This window comes from Homo sapiens, chromosome 2 (genome assembly GCF_000001405.40).
Source record: "Homo sapiens chromosome 2, GRCh38.p14 Primary Assembly".
Classification (NCBI taxonomy): Eukaryota; Metazoa; Chordata; class Mammalia; order Primates; family Hominidae; genus Homo; species Homo sapiens.
This window is the reverse complement of record NC_000002.12, coordinates 100,657,638-100,680,299: the sequence shown is the minus strand read 5'-3', so window position 1 is coordinate 100,680,299 and position 22,662 is coordinate 100,657,638. Positions and strand designations below refer to the sequence as shown.

Here is a 22,662-nt window from a genome sequence, read left to right as displayed (position 1 = left end):
TTGTTTTGTTTTGTTTTGTTTTGTTTTGTTTTGTTTTGTTTTTTGACAGAGTCTTGCTCTGTAGCCCAGGCTGGAGTACAGTGGTGCGATTTTGGCTCACTGCAACCTCTGCCTCCTAGGTCCTGGTTCAAGCAATTCTCCTGCCTCAGCTTCCCGAGTAGCTGGCATGTACCACCATGCCCAGCTAATTTTTGTATTTTTAGTAGAGAAGGGTTTTCACCATGTCAGCCAGGCTGGTCTTGAACTCCTGACCTCGTGATCTGCCCGCCTCGGCCTCCCAAAGTGCTGGGATTACAGGCATGAGTATATTCTTATATTATAAACTGAGTTTGAGAGTGACTGTCCTACTGCTGAACATCTAGTCTGGCTTTCAAGGCATTGCAAGACCTGACTCCCTCTTCAAACCCTGCTTATTTCCCCCTGAACCCTCTGAGCAGATGCTCTGGTTGGCCTATCCAATAGTCTTCCCCAGCTCCAATCCTTTTCTTCCTACTGACAGAGTGTGAATTCCCACAGTTAAGGCTAAAAATGCCAGATACACACTTTTTCAGCCTTCTTTGCAGGTAGGGGTGGGCAGGGCCCCCATTTCTGGCCAATGAGGGGAGGCCTTCTGGTAAGGGGGGGTTCTGATACCCCCTCAATCAAAAGAGAGACACCTATTTCCTGTCTTAGCATCTGCCACTCCCTTGCTTCCTGCAATTGGATGTGGTTGAGTGGTTGTTTCTGGAGCTGCACTGGCCGTCCTGTGGCCTGAGGTGACAAATCTGTGGATTAGAAGCCACCATGCTGGCAGATGATGGGATGGAAGATGACCGGACCTGCGGCTCTCGATGGGACGGCTGAGCTGTTGCACCAGCGGAGCCCAGCTGCCCTAGGCCTCCCATTACAGGCCGTCACAGGACACCATCGGGGGCAGGCCATGGCTGGCCTGGTTCACTCTTTCTCATGACTGATTCATTCATCATGGTCAGGATGGACTCCCCACTGGCCGCCACATATTCCAGGTTTCTGCAGACCTCAGGCTTCGGCTTCTCATATCCAACTCCTGATACCCATTCATTTTTCTCTGGGCTTTTCCAATTTGTGTACACTCTTTAAGGACCAGTTTGAGTATCGACTTTCCTCTTCCATGAATCTTTGCATACGGCAATTGGCTACATTAACTTCTACTTTAAGTACTGATATGTTTTCTATTTTGTGACAATTCATCTTCCTTCCCATCTAGATTTTAAGCACCTTATACCACCTTTGTTTCATTGCATCTCCCAGGATAGTGATGGGATAAATAAGTGCTCAATAAATCACTGACAATTGATGGTGTGATTGATCGCTGATCTAGGACAACTACAACTGAAGCAACATTTTAGGTCTTCATTGATTTGCTTTGCAATTTCCTTCATAGATGACTGGAACATAAATCTTCAGTTAGGGCCAGTTCAAAGTTTTCCTGACTCAAAATATTGCATTCAAGATTGGTATTTTATTAACCAGAGTTGATCAATTCTGTCCTCAGATCTGTGTAGATCTCCAGAGAGATAGAAAGGAAAATGCTATTGGATGGAGAAAAATTACTAAAATAGGAACGAGAACAATAAAACAACATGAACACTAGCTGATAAAGACCCTGAATGAAAAGGACCGAAATGAAATCAGTTGAACTAAGACCGGAGACGGGGGGTCTTCTGTCCTCCGCTCCCTTCTCCAACCATCCCCTCTGCAATCTCCCACACTGCAGGCAAAGTTCACGGAAGTCTGTTTAAAAGACTTGTGAACTTTATAGGGTAAATGCATTCTACTTATATATTTAAGTCGTGGGAGTTTCAAGATAGCTCAAAATACTTGCTAATTTTCTAACTGGGGTCTGAATTTTCTGGTTCTTACTGAGTGAACTTTTTGTGCCTACTTATATTCTGTTACCTGAGGCAAGGGTCATCTTGCTATGCTTTTATATCTTTTTCTTAATTCTCGCCACATGTTGTGTCTCTTAGATCCAGATTTCAGTTTTAAATTTGGAACCGGGGGAAGGGAGCTCACATTTATTGTGGGCCTACCATTTGCCAGCACTTTATATAAGAATCACATTTCATCCTTCCAGCAGCCGTGTGAGGTGGATAATATTGTTCTCATTTTATGGATGAGAAAACTGAGGCTCCAAGAGGTTAAATACCCAGCACGAAGCAACTCTGGCGTTAATCCCCACGGCAGAAACTTTTCAGTTCTATGTGTCAGAAATTCAGCTCACACGGGCTCAGCAAAAGAGTGGTTTCCTGATTCCCATAACTGAGAGATGTCGGTACTTCCGACCCAGCAGGACCTAGAGGCTGAGATGCTGTCCTCAGGACTCGGCCTGGCTCTGTTTCACGCTCCCTCTGTCCCCAGGTGGGCCCTTCCTTACCTCGTAGGGTCCAGAAGGCTCCCAGCACTCCCAGTTGACATCTCACATTCTCAGCTATCCCAGCAGGAAGAGGACTTCTCTCAATGTTCCACCAAAGGTCCAGAACAGAAGCTCACTGGCCTGGCTTAGACACCATGTGCTGTGGTCTGAGTGTTTGTGCCCCCGTCCAAATGTATATGTCAAAACTTCACCCCCTATGTAAGAGTATTTAGGGGCGGGGACTCTTGAAAGGTGGCAGTGTCATAAGGGTTGAGGGTTGAGCACTCATGAATGGGATCAGTGCCCTTATAAAAGAGGCCGCAGTGAACTCTTTTCCCTATGTGAGAACACAGTGGAAGGACAGCCGTCTATGAACCAGGAATCAGGCCCTCACCAGACACCAAATCTGCTGACATCTTGATCCTTAGGCTTCCCAGCCTCCGGAATTGTGAGAAATCACTTTCTGTAGTTTCTAAGCTGTCCGATGTATGGATTCTGACATAGCAGCCCAAGCAACTCAGACACCCTGCTTACCCCCAGAACGCTCACTCCCCTAGTCGGGGAGTGGGGTAGAGAGTGCTCCTGAGCCTCAGGGCCCGAATAGGGGTGGCATCGTCTCTGAAGTCAAGTCCGAGGGGGTGTTTCTGGTAGGAGGGGAAGGGATGGTGGGAAGGCAGAATGATGCTCAGCCCTGAGCGGGGATGCACAGGACCAGCCCGGCCGTCCCTCGACCCAGGAGCAGGTTCTAACCACACAGCCCTTCTCTGTCCTAACCCTGCACCATCTCCAAGTTGTCAGGTGGGGAGAATGGAAAGCAGATCTTTATTCCCCTTGTACAGAGGGCTCATAGCTTGTGGCATATGTATGTGGATTTGTGCTAGAGAGCACAGAACAGAAATCAGAGGGACTCAGAAAGTAGGTGGGGAGGAAATGCACACCATAGGATGCTTCTTCTGCGCCTCCTCCTGTGTTAGAATTGAGGCTCCAGGATGTCTCCCCATGCTAGGGCCGCTCCCAAGCCCTCATCCGGGCCCACTCTTCTCCCCTGACCCCAGCTCTGACCCAGGGACATGCTCCTCCTTGAGGAAGCGCACTGCAGGCAGATCCATCAGACCTACCGTCAGCTCTGAGGTGCCTTCTCTTAGTCCTTCGTCTATACAGATTGTTGGCCACCATATTTCGCCCAGGCTGCAGTGGAAGAGCCCTCGGGCTCTGGAGCCTATGACCTGGGTGAGTGTCTCCTCTTAATACCACCTCTCAACTCTTGACCTCCGGCAAGTTACTTAACCTCTCTGTGCCTCGGTTTGCCTTATCTGTAAATAAATTGAGGTAGGTGAAGCCCTTAGCACAGTGCCAGGGGCATATGCAGTGTGAAATAAATGTTAGCTATTATTATTATTACTTCCTCTGGGCATGGTGAAAATGTAATGAGCTAATGCACAGAAAGCACCCAGAACAGTGACCAGCATGGAAGTTCATGCTTAGTCAATGTTTGTTGCTGTTATACCTTAGAAACCAGCAGGACATACCAATTGTCACTTCCTGGCCAGGCTCACAACCTTAGCTGTCTGTTCAATCAACCTGACGAATTTTTAAAATATACCCATCAATGGGCCTCATCCTAGCTCAGTGGGTCTCAGCTTTGGCAGCTCAATGCAATCACTTGGGGAGCTTTAATAGCTATGGATAGCTAAGCTACATTCCCAGAAACTCTCACAGAAATGGCCTGTAGTGTCCTGGCCGGTGAAATGTGTCAAAGCTTCCCAGGGGTGGCCAGAGCTGAGAACCCTGTCTTAGGAGGATCTAATTGGAAGAGAGGACATCATAGATAATATAATAGTGACATCATAGGTGACAGAGGAAATGCCCGGTGGCTCTGAGACCAGCAGAGAGGTGCAGGCAACTCTCTGGGGGTCCAAGACATGGTCCCTCGAGGGCCTCCCGGTGGGTATTGAGCCAAGGAGCAGCCAGTGGTGATCACAGACTCCAACCAAGGGCTGGGCCCCTCCAGAGTGAGCAGAGCCCTGCTCAGCCAGCTCCTGCAAATATCAATCCTGCAGGAAGGGTTGTGGGGAGAAGACACTGTTCCAACCAACTGACCTGCTGGATTGGAGGATCTAGAAACCTACACGTGACTCTGGCCAAGATAAAATGCTTCAAGATTCCTGGGTACGCTCCACATGGATGAGGGCTGTGTCTTTTTATTCACTGATTTGTGCCTATAGAAAAGACTTACTACAAGGCAGAAGCAGTGCCAGGCGAGCAACATAAACGCAGCCTCTGCCTTCGTGGGCCTGACCATCTAGAGAGGCATGTGGATGTGCACACTTGGAGGCCCACAGGGGTACCTGGTTTGTGGGGTGTAGATGCTGCTCACTGAGCTGGCAGCAGGGTGGGACCACTAGGTTTGGAGCAGGGTATGGGCTTGTGGGGCAGGGACTCTAAGTAGAGTCATTCGTTTTTGCATCTCTAACACAGTAGCTGCCTTCTTGGGCCACATGTTCGAATCTCCTAGGGAGCTCTTAAAAATGACTGAAGCCCAGTCCCCCACCCCTATGCATTCTGCATTCTTTGACCTGAGGGTGAGGTCTGAGAATGTGAATTTAAACTTTCTCCTATGAGTGGACATAGCTGGGCTCTGGACAAGTGCTCTAATGCTTAGCATAGAACCTGAATGACAGAAGGACTCCACATGGCATATGGAGCCTGGACAGGGAAGTCCTAGTTATGGCAGTTGGGGGTGCAGGCTGGCCCTCCAACCCCTGTAACCTTCTGGGATGCTTCCTGGAGGGGCACCAATCTGGCATTAAGATTTGAGGGAGGAGAGAGAATAGCTGGGGGCCGGGGCAAGAGGCAGGGCTCCCATTCTTGTAGGCTTGCCGATTTTGAACAAATTTGCCAGGCAGGCCTCGCTTGAATTCTTGGATGCAGAAGGAAAGGAAGGCTCAGAATCAGATGATGTCCTTCCCCACTGAGCTCAGCCAGGGCTGGCCTTGCTAACCAAGGACGCTGCACCCAATGGCCTTGCTCCCCTGTAATCTATCCGAAGACCCTGACAGAACCCTCAGGCTTAGAAACAGGAGGTGGGTCTTGAGGGCCACTGGAGCTCCTGGAAGAACAAATGAATGAGCTCATTCTTCAAGGGAACGCAGGGCCGGGACAGAAGCTACCGTCTGCCAGATGCGGCTCTCTGTGCAGCGCCTTTCTGAAGATTCAGACTGTTCCCATGGTAATTTGAGTGAAATCGTGGGGGAAGCAGCTCATCACCGCATGGTCAGTTAGACATAAAATGTGTTTTAAAATAATTTTCTTTGACTACATCTGTTATCAAAAATCACACCCACCTCCAGAGTATACATTGCAATTTTTAAAAGTGAAAATTGAGGAAAAGTGCATTCTTATCAAAATAGCCCCCTCTTTTTTTCTCCCCTCTCTCTCTGCCTCGAAGCCATCAAATTGATTCAGCTTAAGGCTAAATATAGGGTTGACTAACAATGATTTCCACAAGAGCTTTAGAAATCGCTTGTAAGCGAGCAAACGGAAAATAGATCGTCCCACAACCACATCAACCAATGTCTGAGACAACAGCCTAAATCCAGCTGCTGAACTGAAACGCAAAGGAATGCTCTGTCCCTTGGCTGGCCCAGCAGTTGCAAGGCCCCAGCAGAAGGGGAGACATCGATGGCGCCCAGTGCCCTCAAGGCGGGTCTGGCTGGTTGCTGTTTGGAGATGTTCCCTGGGAGGGGCTGAGGGGTTGCCGTGAGAAGCCCATTCATTCCACTGTGGGTCCCAGGGTGGGTTTTCTGGAAATCAAGTACTTTGTGAGCCCTGGCTCTATGTATCATAGCAAATGAGACCCTTTGCATGTTTTGCATCTCTTAGGAGGCCTGGAGTATTGGCAATAGCAGGTCAGAGAGGAAAGGCGAGCTGCTGGCCCAGGATGCTACAGAAGGGGCCTGGTCAAGAATCACGACCAAAATAGCTCCTGTTGACAGGAGAGGCTCCTCTTCATCAACGCCCCTTATTAACCTTTGCAGAACACCGTGACTGCTCTGGCCTGGCAGGCAGTTTTAGTACCATCCTGATGCCTGGGCAAGACGGGATCCTCCCTCAGCCCTGTGCCCCTGAGGGCCCCACTCCCCACTCCACAGGGTAAGAGGTCCAGGGCCCACTGGGATGTGTCCACCTAGAGTTTTTGCCTCACCTTCTAGACCAGGGTTTGCAAATGACTCCTGGGCCACTAGTTTCCATTCAGCTCATAAGCTAAGAATGGTTTTTATATTTTTAAATGGTTGTAAAAACATCAAAGGAAGAATGATATGTGAAAATTACATGGAATTTAAATTTTGGTGTCCATAAGTAAAGTTTTCCTGGAACATTGCCATGTTCATTTGTTTGCATAGCGTCTATGCTGTTTTCACCACAAAACGGCAGACTTGTGTAGTTACGACAGAGACCGTATGGCCTGCAAAGCCTGAAATATTTATCATGTGGTCATTTGTAGAAATACTTGCCAATCCGGGCCTAGACCATTCTTAGTGCACCTGGGACCCCAGCATTCCCTGCCCACAGGACCCCAAGCCCCTTCCATCACAGGACGGGTTTTCTTCTTGAGGATGGCCAAGGGGCAACTGTCTGTAGGGGACGTAGATGGAGCTTCCACAGTACTTGCCAGTCCCCTTGGTGTGTGAGAAATGGGGGTGAGAAGAGGAATGAGGTACACCTGGGCTGGAGCCTCAGAGCTGGCCATCTCTGACTACCTCGTTCTAGCACGGAGCCCTATGGAGTCCAAGAATTCAATGTTAAAATCTGGCCTTCTGGGTTTGTCGGGAGAGGAAGGCAGACTATATTTTGTTAGAGTTAACTTGATTTATTTTTATTTTATTTATTTATTTATTTATTTATTTATTTATTTATTTTTGAGACAGAGCCTCACTCTGTCACCCAGGCTGAAGTGCAGTGGCAGGATCTTGGCTCACTGCAACCTCTGCCTCTTGAGTTCAAGTGAGTCTCCTGCCTCAGCCTCCCGAGTAGCTGGGATTACAGGCATACGCCAGGTTAATTTTTGTATTTTTAGTAGAGACGGGGTTTCACCATGTTGACCAGGCAGGTCTCGAACTCCTGACCTCAAGTGATCCACCCGCCTCAGCCTCCCAAAGCACTGGGACCACAGGCATGAGCCACCGCACCTGGCCAAGTTAGCTTGATTTGTAATTTTCAAATGTTCAGCAGCATGGCATGTGGGCCTCCATTTGTGTTCTTGCCCTGGGGTTTCATGTGTTGGGGGATTCTCTAGACCACTCCCTTCTGGCCCCACCAGTTGAGGTGCTCTTCACCCAGAGTCACAGGGATTCCTCCCAAACCCACTCTGCCAGAGGTATGTGCTATCACACTTACACAATTTAACTCAGCACTTACAAATTAATGAAACATGAATGTGAAAATGACAGCTTTTTTGTTGAAAAGACCCAAGAAAGATGAGTCTCTAGAAATCAGTGGCATTGACATAGGTGTGGGCAGGACAAGTTTACATGTTTGGGAGAAAAATTGAATATTCATAGGACTCTTGCATCGTATATTCCTTTAAACCTTTGCTCTATTTTTAGAATCAAAACTGCAGAGCATAGCCTGTTTATACACTTGTAGTTTGTATAAGGAAGAAGACATAAAGTTCCCGCAGAAAGACAAGGCATAAGCCAGGGCCTTGACCCTACATCAAAAGATAGGCAAATCAGTGTGCATTTTTGCTTTTTACATGAAATAATTTTAATATCTTTATCATTGTTTATAATTCCCTACTTAATATTTTTGATTAACTCTTCAGTTAATAATTCCATAAGGACAGTTCTATAGACGATGCCATCTTATGCCATCATGGCGAACACAATTAAGCCCTATAGGGAACATTGTCCTGAAAGGTACCGAAGCTCTACAGGCATTATTTCATTTAATTCTCACAGGTCTCATGTGACAGATGCCCCTATAGCTCTCGAGCCATAGGTAATGCAACTATAAGTCGGGTGTGGTGGTGACGCACCTGTAGTCCCAGCAATTCTGGAGGCTGAAGTGGGAGGATGGCTTGAGCCCAGGAGTCCGAGGCTGCAGTGAGCCATGATAGCACCAATGCACTCCAGCCTAGGTGACAGGAGTGGAACCCTCTCTCTTAAAAAAAAAAAGAAAAAAACTAAAAGGTAATACAACTAAAACTCAGAGAGGGCAAGCCACTTGCCCAAAATCACACAGCTAGTAAGTGAGCAGAGACTTGAATGCAAGTTAGCCCTTACTCTGAACTCGTGAGCTTAACATCTGTGCCATCCTCCACATGGCAGGCCCAATACGTGCAGAAGAAATGAACAAATGAATGATAACCCCTAAGCAGCAGGTCTTGCTAACTGGATTGTGGTTCTCTGCGGGAGTCAGTGTGCTGGGTGGGAACAGACAAAGCTATAGGCAAGACATGGCACAAGAGCGTTGATTCTACCTGAGAGCAATCAATAGAAAACTTTTAAAATGTTTAAGTGAGGCCAGGCCCAGTGGCCCACTCCTGTAATCCCACCACTTTGGGAGGCCAAGGCAGGCAGATCACCTGAGGTCAGGAGTTCGAGACTAGCTTGGCCAAAAACGCTGTCTCTACTAAAAATACAAAAATTAGCCAGACATGGTGGGGCACACCTGTAATCCCAGCTACTCGTGAGGCTGAGGCTGGAGAATCACTTGAACCTGGGAGGCGGAGGTTGCAGTGAGCCGAGATGGTGCCACTGCACTCCAGCAGGGCCAAAGAGTGAGACTCTGTCTCAAAAAAAAAAAAAAAATAGTTTAAGTAAACTTGTATATATCACGGAATGAGATGCAAAACATTGCATCACTTCTAAATAGAAACCAGAAGACTTCAAAGAAACTCTGAGGTTCTGCCCTGCTTTGACCTATATCCCCATACCCTGCGGAGTTTGCCGTTGTTCTTGGCTCCTCGATGGAGATTTCGAGACACACAGTCCCACAGAGTACCAAAGAGGATATCCTCAGGGTCAGGGAGGAGAAGAAAGGTGCAGGCGAGAAGGCTGAGTTTGAGCCTTACACAGCATTGCCGGGTTGTATTTGGACACCAGGCAGAGGGTTTGTGGGACAGGGTGCTAGAAAAAGCTGTTGCCAGGCCCTGACATTGCCTCATAGTGCAATGCAGGAGGAGGGTGGAGAGGTGGGGAATTCATTCTGGGCATATGGGAGGGCACATACTCTGTGTGGCCAGAGCCCGTGGGGAGCTAGAAAGGACAGAAGGCTGCTGAGGTGCAAGCCTCTATTGAGGCTGCATCATGACTGTGCTGAAAGGGAAGAAAAGTGTTCTTCTGGCAAAGACTGAATAACACCTCTGCTTAGGAAAGCGACCGAAGGATAGATCATTACCTCCAGGGGCCTGGGGCAGCCCTCTTCCCTAAGCCCTGGGCAGAGGGGCCGATGTCCCTGTGCTTCCCTAGAAAGCCCTCTGGTGGCTCATTTTACAAGTCCACTTGACTGACCATGGGGTGCATGGATTAAACATTACTTCCGGGTGTGTCTGTGAGGGTGTTTCTGGGGAGACTGGCATTAGAACTGAGGGACTGAGAAAGCAGATTGCCCTCCTCAATGTCGGTGGGCATCATCCAATCTGTTGAGGGCCTGAATAGAACAAAAAAGCAGAGGAAGGAGGAATTGGCCCCTTTTCCCCCTGCCTCATTGCTTGATCTTGGACATCTCATTTCATCTTCTCTTGTTCTCAGACTGGGAATCTCACCATCGGTTCCCCTGGTTCTCAGACCCTTGGGCATGAGCTGAATTGCACCATGGCTTTCTGTTTGTCTGGGGAACGCTGACTAATACAAGGCATCTCAACTTGGGCATTACTGAGGCTGTAGGGTCACGGTAAGCCCTGAAATTGCACATGTCTGTGCACTGTTATGGGGAGAAGATCCACAAGGTCACTTAATCCTCCAAAAGGTGAAGAGCTGTTGCCTTCAGGAGCCCCAGGGAGAAAAACCAGGCTTGAGGGTTTTAGGTAAACCAGCCGCAGAGCCCTGAACCCTATCTTCACAGAGCACTGATTCCAGCCTCTCCCACTGACAGAAACTGTTGGGTTTATGATTTATGTAAGTGTCCTAATCGCCACTGAATTGATCAAGGCAAAGGGGTATTTAAGGAATGAAACCTGAACTGCTCTGCAAGGTGAGGGTTAGGAATATCTTATACTTCCCTGCAGCTGGAGCATGCATGAAGTTAATTATTGCATACAACAGCATTGTAAAATTTGGAGAAAGAGCATAGGGCTCCAAGAAGTATTGTCCTCAAAGTTACAGAACTGGTGACCTAAGACAGAAGCCACCCATTAACCACTGGACCTTGGACAAGTTGCTGTCTTCAGGATTCAGAGTCCTCATCTATAAAATGGGATTAATAGGGTTGTTGTGGACGTTCAATCATATAATGTGGACATTCAATGTGTAAAGAGTTTACAGAGTGAAAGATGAAGTCACTGCTTGATAACTGTTAGTTTTTATTACACTACTGATAATTACTTTATTAAATGTTTCTGTCAGTGATAGTTGGGGAAAGGAGAAATAATAGAAGATACTATTAGAACTAAGCCTACAATTGATATGTAACTTGCAGCTTGCCCTGCTGAGCAAAAAGGCATAAGGATAACAATTCTTAGAACCAAGGCTACAATTGATACGTAACTTGTAGCTTGCCCTGCTGAGCAAAAAGGCATAAGGATAACAATTCTGCCAAGGGCTCCTTCTGCGCCCCTCCTCACATGCACTAACTGAATTGCTCCTCTCAACAACCCATCCTGTGATTGAGGAGGCTGAGACTCAAAGAGATTAACTAATTTTCCCAACTCACTCCTCAGTTTGGAAAAGTGGAGGCACGACATTAATTGGACTCTGTCGTAAACCGCTGGTCTCTGTCTCTGGAGCAGGGGTGTGTCTGGACCACAGAGCATGGGCAGAGAGGGCCTGCTCCTTCATCAGTGATGAGTTGTGTTGGGTGAGAGTACTCTTGGATGCACAGGTCACCAGACTCAATTCCCCTCCTTTCCTCATTAGAAGCTTCCGCTGAAATCTACACCTTGGCAGGATGCAGAGCTAGGAAGTTCATAAATCAGAGAATCGCTGAGTGACAAACTGCAAAAAAGGAAGTGACACTTCCCTAGGAGATGTGGAGATGCTGTTTGTGAACAAAAAAGCGAGAGGGACTTGGCCCCATGTCTGCAAAGAGACAGGTGTGCTTCTGCAGGGGGGCCTGCGCCGACCCAGGTCTGCAACCCTTGTGTTACCTATCCATTGCTGCGCAAGCTCGGCTTTGGCCCCACAGTGCACGCCTATCCTGTCCCCCAACCTCATCACTCCCAGCTGTGTCTGCTCACTGCTTCCTGTCACCCCGAGTATGCAATTCAGACTCAGTGTCCATGAGGCCCTCTTATCTGGGATTGACCATTCTCCCTCCTCTTCCCAAACTACTTGCACCGGCCACATCGGCTTCCAGAGCTCTGCTGGGAAACACAGTGTGCTCCTGCCTCAAGGGTTTGCTCAGGTGTTCCCTCTGCTGCAGGGCTCCTTCTCCAGTTCTTTAAAGGGCTGATTCCATCCCATGGTTCAGATTTCAGCTCAGCTCTTAGCTCTTCAGAGAGACCTTCCCTGACCTCCCAATTTAAATTATACTCTGAAGCCAATCACCATGACGTTGACCTTTGTAATTTTCTCCATTAAAGCCTTCAAAATCTTCACCTGCAACTATTTCATTATTTCTTCCTCCTCTGCCAGAAGGTAAACTTCCAGAGACAGAGGCCAGCCTGTCCTGATCACTAGGTGGTCCAGAGTTAGAACAGCAACTGGGTCGAGTGGGCCCTCTGAATCCTCACAAGTTGGCATCTGAATCCACAAAGGAACTCAAGCTCTGGCCGCTCAGCCTGTGCGCCTTGGTGGGTGCACAAGGCGGTGACTCTGGCTTCTGGGCAGCCATCATCACTCTGGACCATGCTCAAGGCGTCTCCTCGGGTTGCTACTGTAGGTTGTTGCTTTACCAAGACAGTGGAGGGGGATGGGCAGGAGAGGCCGTTGATGTTTCTTGAGTTTTGATTTTTTTTTTTTTAATTATGAGGAACTAGATACAGTCTTGCATTGTTGAATGATGGGAATATGTTCTAAGAAATGCATTGCTAGGTGATTTCGTCGTTGTGTGAACATCATAGCATACACTTGCACAATCCTAGATTGGACAGCCAACAACACACCTAGGCTATGTGCATGGTCTATTGCTCCTAGGTTACAAACCTGCACAGCATATTACTGGGCTGAATACCGTAGGCAATTGTAACACTATGGTAAGTATTTGTGTATTTAAACATAGCTAAACATAGAAAAAGTACAGCAAAAATATGGTATAAAAGATAAAAAATGGCCAGGCACGGTGGCTCACACTGTAATCCCAGCACTTTGGGAGCCTGAGGCAAGCGGATCACTTGAGGTCAGGAGTTCGAGACCAGCCTGGCCAACATGGTGAAACCCCATCTCTACTAAAAATACAAAAATATTAGCTGAGCATGGTGGCGCATGCTTGTAATTCCAGCTACGTGGGAGGCTGAGGCAGGAAAATCTCTTGAATCCAGGAGGCAGAGGTTGCAGTGAGCACTGAACTCCAGCCTGGGTGACAGAGCAAGACTCCATCTCAAAAAAAAAAAAATGAAGATAAAAAATGGTCCACCTGTATAGGGCACTTACCGTAAATGGAGCTTGCAGGACTGGAAGTTGCTCTGGGTGACTCAGTGAGTGAGTGGTGAGTGAATATGAAGCCCTAGGACATCAGTGTACACTACCATAGACTTTATAAATACTGTACACAGAGGCTACACTACATTTAAAAATATTTTTCTCGAATTATAAATTAAACTTAGCTTACTGTAACTTTTTTACTTTATAAAATTTTTAATTTTTTTTAACTTCTTGACTCTTTTATAGTAACATTTAGCTTAAAACACAAACATGGCCAGGTGCGGTGGCTCACGCCTGTAATCCCAGCACTTTGGGAGGCCGAGGCGGGCGGATCACGAGGTCAGGAGATCGAGACCATCCTGGCTAACACGGTGCAACCCCATCTCTACTAAAAATACAAAAAATTAGCCGGGCATGGTGGCGGGTGCCTGTAGTCCCAGCTACTTGGGAGGCTGAGGCAGGAGAATGGCATGAACCCAGGAGGTGGAGCTTGCAGTTAGTGGAGATCATGCCACTGCACTCCAGCCTGGGCAACAGAGCGAGACTCTGTCTCAAAAAACAAAAACAAAACAAAACAAAAACCCCACAAACACATTGTACAGCTGTACAAAAATGTTTTCTATCCTTATTCTATAAACATTTTTCTATTTTGAAAACTTTTTTCTTTATACCTTTTAAGTTATTTTGCTAAAAGCTAGGACACAAACACATCCATTAACCTAGGCCTACACAGGGTCAGGGTCCTCAGTATCACCTCCACATCTTGTCCCACTGAAACGTCTTCAGGGGCACGCATGGAACTGTCATCTCCTATGATAGCAGTGCCTTCTGGAAAACCTCCTAATGGACTTTCCCGAGGCTCTTTTATAGTAACATTTTTTTTCATAAGTAGAGGTACCCTCTAAAATAATGATAAATAGTGTAATATAGCCAATACATAAATCAGTAATAGTCATTTATTATCTTTATCAAGTATTATATACTGTGTGTAAGTGTATGTGCTAGACTTTTATACAACTGGCCACACAGTGGGTTTGTTTACCCAGCATCCCTGCAAACGCATATTGCACTGGTGTGTTATGGTGGCTATGATGTGACTAGCCTATAGGAATTTTCCATCTCCATTATCTTACGGAATCACTGTTGTGTATGCAGCCCATCGTTGACCAAAACCTTGTTATGTGGCACACGACTCTATCACCATCTGTAATTAACCACATCTATGCCCAACCTTGACCTATTAGTTCATGTGAGATGGGAAATGATGCAGAATGGAAGGATGACTGGCTAATGAGCCAGGTCCCAACTCCACTTTTAGGTGCTGGGTGACCCTGAGTAACCACAGAGCATCTGAGCCTTGGTCTCTTATTTGTAAGATGGTTGAGTTTGTGGATTTCGGAGTCAGACAGGCCTGATTAGCCCACTTAGTGAGCTGGGCAACTTCCCTAGTTCTCCGTCCTGGTTTCCTCATGTATGACATGGAAATCTTAAAACCACCTCAGAGGGTGGTCATCAAAATAAAATGAGACTGAACTTGTAAGAGTCACACTTGTGTGCCAGGCACAGAACTCAGTGATTGTTGGGTGTTGATTGCCATTTGGTACTGCTGTTACTGCTATGACCACTGGCTACCAGGCAGAGGATGTGGCTGTCATCTCCTGACATAACAAGTAAACCCTCGTTATCAACATAATCCTTTAGCTGAGTGGTTCTCAAAGTGTGGTCCCCAGACCAGCACTATCAGCATCACCTGGAAACATGTCAGAAATACACATTTTCAGGCCCCACTCTGGACCTATCAACTCAGAAAGCCTGGAGGTGGGTGGGGATCAGCCATCTTTAGCAATTCACTTCCAGGTGATTCTGCATAGAATTCTGCATTAGCCCAAGCAGGTGAGAACCACAGTGTTAGCCCCAATCTTCCTAACCCTAGTTTCGCATTAGAGCCACCTGATGTGCTTTACCAGCATGCTAAATACCTGGCTCTACCTATGGGGATTGTGATTTAGGTGGTCTGGAAAGGGACTCCCAGTAAAACAGGACCAGCAGGGTGTGAGTGTGTGTGTGTGTGTAAACTAGGACACAGAGAGAGAGAGAGAGAAACACACAGAGGTTTTAATCTAAAGAATTGGCTTATGTGATTGTGGGGCAAATCCCACATCTGCCAGGCAGGGCAGCAGCTGGAGACTCAGGGAAGAGCTGGCATTGCAGCTCGACTTGGAGGCAGTCTGGAGACAGAATTTCCTCTTTCTTGGGGAACGTTAGTCTTTTTCCCAAGGCCTTCAACTGATTAGATGAGGCCCACCCACATTATGGAGAATCATCTGCCTTACTCAACATCTACAGATTTTAATGTTAATCTCATCTAAAATATACCTTCACTGCAACATCTCAATGGTGGTGAACCAAATGTCTGGGTGCTGTGGCCTGGCCAAGTTGACCCACTAAAGGAACCACCCGGGCTGGGCAGCAGGGAAGCAAGGCCGTGGAGGCCTCCCTCTTGGCGCACGTTCTTTCTGAATGGGGTCAACAAAACAAAGAGGCCGCCCCCTCCCCGGCCACATCTCAGGCAGCCCCCGCTCCTCTCCTCACTGTCACTGCTGACAGGTGTTGCGTGGAGGGAGACAATCTGTGCAGCACCCTTGTTTGGGGGTTTTCACCCTGAAGGTGTCTTCCTAGCTTCTCCCTGGGAGCGCTCAGCCTTGTGTGACCCTCTACCCTCAACTCTGCTTTGAGGGTACTGCCGGCCCCCTGTTGGATCGTGTGCGGATGGATAGAGAAAAAGAAACAGGGCCACCCCGCACATGGAAGATGGGAGGGGGAATGGAGAGCTCCAGGAGTAGCACAGATGGGGCGCCCTGCGTGGTGCCGTAGGTGGCGCGCCCTGACATGGCGCCACTAATAGAGCACCCACAGCAAAGCCACCCAGCCAGGCTCCTTAGACCCCCGCAGAACCTTCTTCACCAAGCCCTGCCCTTCTGTGTCTCCTTGCTCCTTAGCATATTGTTATGTATGTCAGGTTAGCCTCTTTCCCGGCTTCGGGGTGAGGGCAGGCGGGGGAAATTGGGCTGCTATTGTAGGATTCACAGAGGCAGCCTGAAGGAGATGGAAAATCTGGGAAACATTCCCAGAGGAAAGCTCTGGGTGAAGCAGGTGCTGAAACGGGGTGGCCCTGCCCCACTGGGGCTGAGGCATCGCTTCTAGGACATCTGAGGTCACCGGGTGATGGTGACAAGATGGACAGGGACGGACTTCCACGCTGGCCTGGGTGCTGCTCTCACAGGTCCCCCCTGGAATGAGCACCGAGAAGGAGCAATGTGCTTTGTTTTTCAAAATGTACATGGATTTCATTTAAAGGGCTGCCCTTGATGAGATGATGTCCTGCTAACTTTAGGAAAGGAGATGGTCATGAGAGTAATGGTAGCTGATGGGGTTCAGGGTTTTTTTTCCTTTAACGCCCTTATATGACATTAAAAAAATTGTCAGCCCTTTGCTGGTTCTCCAGTTTGGAGGCAAGAGCAGTGAACGTTAGGGTCCTTACAATCCGAAAGCCAGGCAAACCACTGATCTAGGTTCTAGAACCTTCACCTGGAGTGATTTCATTGATTGCTGTTTTTAAAGAAGGATCTTAGGGTTTAATTCCTTTGCATCTTTTCTCAACCTTGGCCACTTGAGCTAGCCAACTCCTGAAGGCCAGGGTAAATGGAGGGCCTGCCTTCCCATCATGGCACCATCATACACAGCAATAGGAAGTGATGAAGAACCCGCAGCCTGGCAGGAGCTGGGCAGAGACTGTGAATAAGGCACCATGACACGCCACCCAAAGTTACCTCTGGGTAACTCATACGGCAAAAAAAAGCACACAGTGACCACTGCCCTACTCTGTTTTTTCTGCAATCTCCTCCCAGGCTCTTTTTATACAATTTAGGAATAGAAATATACAGGTTCCTGTCCTTATGAGGAAACCATTCATGTAGTTTGGCGTCCTCAGCCTGATCATTAGGTTATCTCTGCTTCCCCTGTCCAGTGCAATGATCGGGTCAGGATGGGCACAGACCCAAGCTGGGCCAATCAGATCACACCTTGGGGCTTCTGTTTAAGCTTTGGGAATAGACGCGCTTTCTGTTTCATGGGGTGCAGTAGCCCTGAGGACAGTGTAAGCCTAGAGCCACCAGTGGCTGCCTTTGCTACCCTGTGGCGTGAGCCTGCTGGATAGTGAAGACAGTGTAGACGAAAGAGCTGAGAGGTGGAGTGACAGCTTTGATAGCATTGTTTGAATCTCTACTTTCCATCACGCCTGAAGCTACCTGCACTCTGGGACTTCTCAGTATATTTCCTTAAAGCAGTTTGAGTTTAGTTTTGATCATTTGTACTCCAAAATATTCCTGAAAAACGCTCCCTAACATTTTATGCTCTTTCTTTCTACCAAAACTCAGAAGCTCTTTGCATGAGTGTCATTGGAAATCCACTGACCCAAATGCCATAGGCTGAACTTAAGCCATTATCCTTAACACATTCAATTCCATATAAGAAATTCTTCCCTGAAATCAATCAGGGACCAACTTTAGGACCAGCTTAGGGTCATCCTGGCTATGAAGAGAACAGCCTGACTTTATTAATTTGTTCTGATGAGGAACTTCCTGCTGAACTAATTTGGACCTAGATGGGCAATTTAGTTAACTCCATGAGCTTCTGTTTCTACATCTGTAAGATGAGGGATAGAAGTACCAGTATTGCAGGATTATTCAATTTTGTTCAGTTCAGTTCAATCTCTTTCCAAACAGCTCAGGTCGACACAGCTCATCCAGTTCCACTCCCATGCAGGAAGGCCTCAAGTGACTTAAACTGTACTTAGACAATGTCCTTCCTCACCTAATCATGGCTCAGGCTGGGCCAATCACGCTCCCTTTCCAAGGAACTGGGCACTGTGTTGCAGGAGCTCTACTCTAGGGAAACCAGGATGCATCCGTGTGAGAGGCCTAGTGAATGGAGCAAAGGTGTAGAGAAAAGCAGAGAGAGACGTGTAAGGACAGGGTCCCACGCCTGTGAGGCCCAGGAGATCTCCCACTTTGGGACTCAGGAGGTATCTCAATATATGTCCACTAAAGAGCCCTTTGGGCCTCTAGCTAGCTGGAGAGGTTTCTTTCTTTCTTTTCTTTTCTTTTCTTTTTTTTTTTTTTTGAGATGGAGTCTCGCTTTGTCGCCCAGGCTGGAGTGCAGTGGCACGATCTCGGCTCACTGCGAGCTCCGCCTCCCGCGTTCACGCCATTCTCCCGCCTCAGCCTCCCAAGTAGCTGGGACTACAGGCGCCCGCCACCACGCCCGGCTAATTTTTTGTATTTTTAGTAGAGATGGGGTTTCACCGTGTTAGCCAGGATAGTCTCATCTCCTGACCTCGTGATCCGCCCGCCTCGGCCTCCCAAAGTGCTGGGATCACAGGCGTGAGCCACCGCGCCCAGCAGAGAAGTTTCTTTTTATTACTCCTAAAAAGCAGCAGCCAATCCCTGAGGATAGTTCTTAGCTGAAAATCACTTCCGGTTTCCATGTGATCCTGTGGAAGCCCCAGTCCACTCCTCTGTGAAAAGGGCTATCAAAGTTGCTTCACCTCAGAGGATTAGAGCTCAGTTGGGATAATGGATGTGGAAAGGAATCTTAAACTTGGAAGACAATAATTTCCCGTAGGAACAGTTGCAATTTATTGGACCCGCTTACTCTTCTTTTGAGCTTTTGTACCGACAGGCGAGCATCACACGCCTCTCCTCGTGATCTCTACACAGATCTTACTTCTTGAGGTTACTCACAAGGAGCCAGCTCAGGAGACTGAGCCGGGTGTAGGATAACGAACGGTTCAAAGAGGTCCTTTTCTGATGCCGAATGTCCTTGCTACTAGCCTGAAATTCCATAATTACAGGTTGATTTCCTTATGACTTGAAAACACACTTGAATTAAAATGCAGACTAGGCAAAGAGTCCTTAGATTTGACACCAAAATCATGACCCACAAAAGGAAAGATGATATATTAGCCTGCTTAGGCTGCCATAACAAAATACCATAGACTAGGCGGCTTAAGCAACAGCAACGTATTTTCTCACAGTTCTGTAGGCTGGAAGTCCAAGATCAAGGTCTGATAAGGTTCAGCTTCTGGTGAGGGCTGCCTTCCTGGCTGGTAGACAGCTGCTTTCTCACAGTGTCCTTGTGTGTGAGAGAGAGAGCTCTAGTCTGTATTTTTTTTTTATTGATTTTTTTCTTAAATAAAATCAATTTTAACATCCATTATAAAAACTTTAAATCTACAATAGGGTCAAAATAAAATGTATAAAACCTCCTTTGCATGCCCCTCATTTAGTTCTACTCCACGGAATTAATGATTGTTAATATTTTCTTGTTTATCCTTTCAGAACTCCATTTATTGGTGAGAATGGTGTCATATAAAATGTCTTAGCCAGGTGCGATGGCTCATGCTTGGATTCACAGCATTTCTGGAAGCCAAGGTGGGAAGATCGCTTGAGGGCAGGAGTTCGAGACCAGCCTTGGCAATACAGAGAGACCCCATCTCATATGTGTTTTCTTACTCTTTCTCTTGGACATTTATTTGTTATATTTCTTCCTCTTTTTACAAAACCTTTGATTTATCTGTTTATGTGTCATGCCAAATTCAAATGAGAGTGATAGACTCTCTTGTATTGTGGGGCACCTGTTTAACTTAAACTTTGCCCAGAGATTGTCCATCAGGTATTTCCTGACTAATCTTTTCTTGGGATACTGTTTCTGTTTCTCATTTCCGTTTTCCTCTTTTTTTTCCTGTTCATCTTCCAGCTCCTTTTCATTTTCCTCTTCTTTTTCTCACTTTCTCTTTCCGCCTGGTTCTCCTCCTCCTTCTCTCCATTTCTGCTTTCCCTTTTGTTCATCTTCACTGCAATTTCCATTCGATTGTTCTGGATTTTGATCCCAAGGCATAGCTCGTTGTTTCTGTATAAAAAGATTTGAATTATCAGGGGCTTCTGAAGTATCAGGATCTCTCTCCATATTGAAAAAGTTTCTTCTCCCACTTCCTGGACACCATCCTTTCCTGAGCTTCCTCAAAGTCAATGGCTGCTCTTTCAAAGCTTTCTTTGTTGCTCCTCTTTCCCCTGTCTCTCTTCTTCTTGTAAGAGCACCAACCCTATGGAATTAAGGCCCTACCCTTATGACCTCATTTAACTTTTATCACCTTCTCTCAGGCCGAAACAGAGTCACACTGAGTCTCATTGGGAGTTAGAGCTTCAACATAGGAATTTTTGAAGGACACAATTCAGTTCATAGCAGATTGATATATTTGACCTTACCTAAATTTAAAACTTCTGCTCTGCAAAAGACCTGTAAGGAGGATGAAAATACATGCTATAGACTGGGAGAAAATATTTGCAACCTATATATCTAACAGAGAACTTGTATCTAGAATATATGAATCTCACAAAACTCAGCAGTAAAAGAAATTCCAATTAAAATATGGGCAAAAATTCTGAACAAAATTTTAGCCAATTGAATCTAACAATGTATAAATCCTGTGACCACATGGCATTTATTCCACATATGTACAGCTAGCTCAATGTGATTCACCATATCAACAGGCCAAAGAAGAAAAATATGATCATATCCATTGACATAGAAAAACATTTGACAACTTCAACACCCATCAATGATTAAAGGCACTCAGTACATTAGGAATAAAGGGGAACTTGCTTGATCTCATAAAGATCATCTGCAAAAACCTAAAGCTAACATTATACTCAATGGTGAAAGATTGAATGCTCTCCTTCTAAGATGGGAACAAGATAAGGATGACTGCTCTCACCACTCTTATTCAACAATGTACTGGAAGTTTTAGTCATTGCAATAAGGGAAAAAAAGAAATAAAAGTCATTTAGAGTAAAAAAGGAGAAGATAGAAGTGTCTTTATTTGCAGACAATATGATTGAAATCCCAAGGAATCTGCAAAACAAAACAAAACAAAAACCTCATAGGACTAATAATTGAGTTCAGTAAGATCACAGGATACGAGATCAATACACAAACATCAGTTGCATTCCTATATACTGACAATGAACAAGTAGAAACCAAAATTAAAAATGCAACACAATTAATAATTGCCCAAAGAAAGGGAAATAGTTATCAAACAAATCAAACAAAACATACACAGCATCCTTATGCTGAAATTACAAAGTGCTGATGAAAGAAACCAAAGAAGACCTAAATACTTAGGGAGACGCCAGCTGTAGTGGCTCATGCCTGTAATCCCTGCACTTTGGGAGGCTGAGGCAGGAGGATCGCTTGAGCTTAGCAGTTTGAAACCAGCCTGGGCAACATAGAGAGACCTCTTCTCTACTAAAAATATATTTTTTAAAAATTAGCTAGTCATGGTGGCATGTGCTTATAGTCCCATCTACTCAGGAGGGTGAGGTGGCAGGATTGCTTGAGCCTGGGAGGTCAAAGCTGCAGTGAGTCATGATCGTGCCACTGCAGCCTGGACAACAGAATGAGACCCTGTCTCAGAAAAAGAGAAGAAATTGATAAATTGAATCTTATCAAAATTAAAAGCTTTTCTTGTAAAAGCGTATGTTAAGAGGACAAAAAGACAAGCTACAGATTGGGAAAAATTATTTGAAAATCACATATTAGACAAAGGACTTGTATCTAGAATACATAACAATTCTCAAAACTCAACAATCCAATTAAAAAATGGGAAAAAAACGTGTAACAGACATTTCACTGAAGAGGATGTGCAGATGGGAAACAAGCCTGTGAAAAGATATTCAACATCATTTGCCATTAGAAAAATACCAATTAAAAGTACAACGAGATAGCATCACACACCTACCAGAATGGCTAAAATAAAATATAGTGATAACACCAAATGCTGCTGAGGATGCAGAAAAATCAGACCACTTATACACTGCTGGTGGAAATGAAAAATAGTACAGCCATTCTGAAAAATAGTTTGTCAGTTTTTCGGTTTTTGTTTCGTTTTAGTTTGGTGTTTTTGAGACAGATTCTCACTCTGTCCCCCAGACTGGAATGCAGTGGCACCATCATGGCTCACTGCAACCTCAACCTCCTGGGCTCAAGCAATCCTTCTGCCTCAGCCCCCCACGTAGCTGGGACTACAGGTGTGTGTTAACATGCCCAGCTAATTTTTGTATTTTGTTTGGGTCGGGACAGGATTTTGCCATGTTGCCCAGGATGGTCTTGAACTCCCGGGCTCAAGCGATCTGCCCGTCTCAGCCTCCCAAAGTGCTGGGATTACAGGCATGAGCCACTATGCCTGGTTATCAGTTTCTTTTAAAACTAAAAGTGGACTTATCTAGCAATTACACCCTTGGGCCTTTATCCCAGAGAAATTTTCATTTCAAAATCTTGTGTTTTTACAAAAATTTATACACAATGTTCATAGCAACTTAATTTGTTATAGCCAGAAAAGCTGGAGACAATCAAAATGCCTTTTAATAATCTATTACACTGTGCTATGTCCATACCATGAAACACCATTCATCAATAAAAGGGAGAAGC

At 46.2% G+C, this 22,662-nt stretch overlaps 1 long non-coding RNA gene and 1 pseudogene across 2 annotated transcripts, besides 2 other annotated features; one reads left to right on the top strand and one right to left on the bottom strand.

Annotated features, from left to right (window-relative positions):
* Positions 1-336: 336 nt before the first annotated feature.
* On the top strand, positions 337-12,268 carry LINC01868 (long intergenic non-protein coding RNA 1868). Of its 2 annotated transcripts, XR_001739611.1 has the most exons (3): positions 337-2,822; positions 3,430-4,543; positions 10,129-12,268. It is a non-coding gene; the product is annotated as a long intergenic non-protein coding RNA 1868 (long non-coding RNA). The 2 variants fall into 2 exon arrangements; XR_001739610.1 differs by lacking the exon at positions 10,129-12,268 and having other exon boundaries at positions 3,430-6,750.
* Positions 15,373-15,873: an enhancer, noted in NCBI's record as "H3K4me1 hESC enhancer chr2:101280889-101281389 (GRCh37/hg19 assembly coordinates)". NCBI's record gives its function as "activates a minimal SCP1, AML or CMV promoter by ChIP-STARR-seq in primed H9 embryonic stem cells {active_cell/tissue: H9 hESC(primed)}" and the evidence as "EXISTENCE:reporter gene assay evidence [ECO:0000049][PMID:30033119]".
* Positions 15,874-16,374: an enhancer, noted in NCBI's record as "H3K4me1 hESC enhancer chr2:101280388-101280888 (GRCh37/hg19 assembly coordinates)". NCBI's record gives its function as "activates a minimal SCP1, AML or CMV promoter by ChIP-STARR-seq in primed H9 embryonic stem cells {active_cell/tissue: H9 hESC(primed)}" and the evidence as "EXISTENCE:reporter gene assay evidence [ECO:0000049][PMID:30033119]".
* Positions 19,356-22,422, bottom strand: NANOGNBP1 (NANOGNB pseudogene 1; annotated as a pseudogene).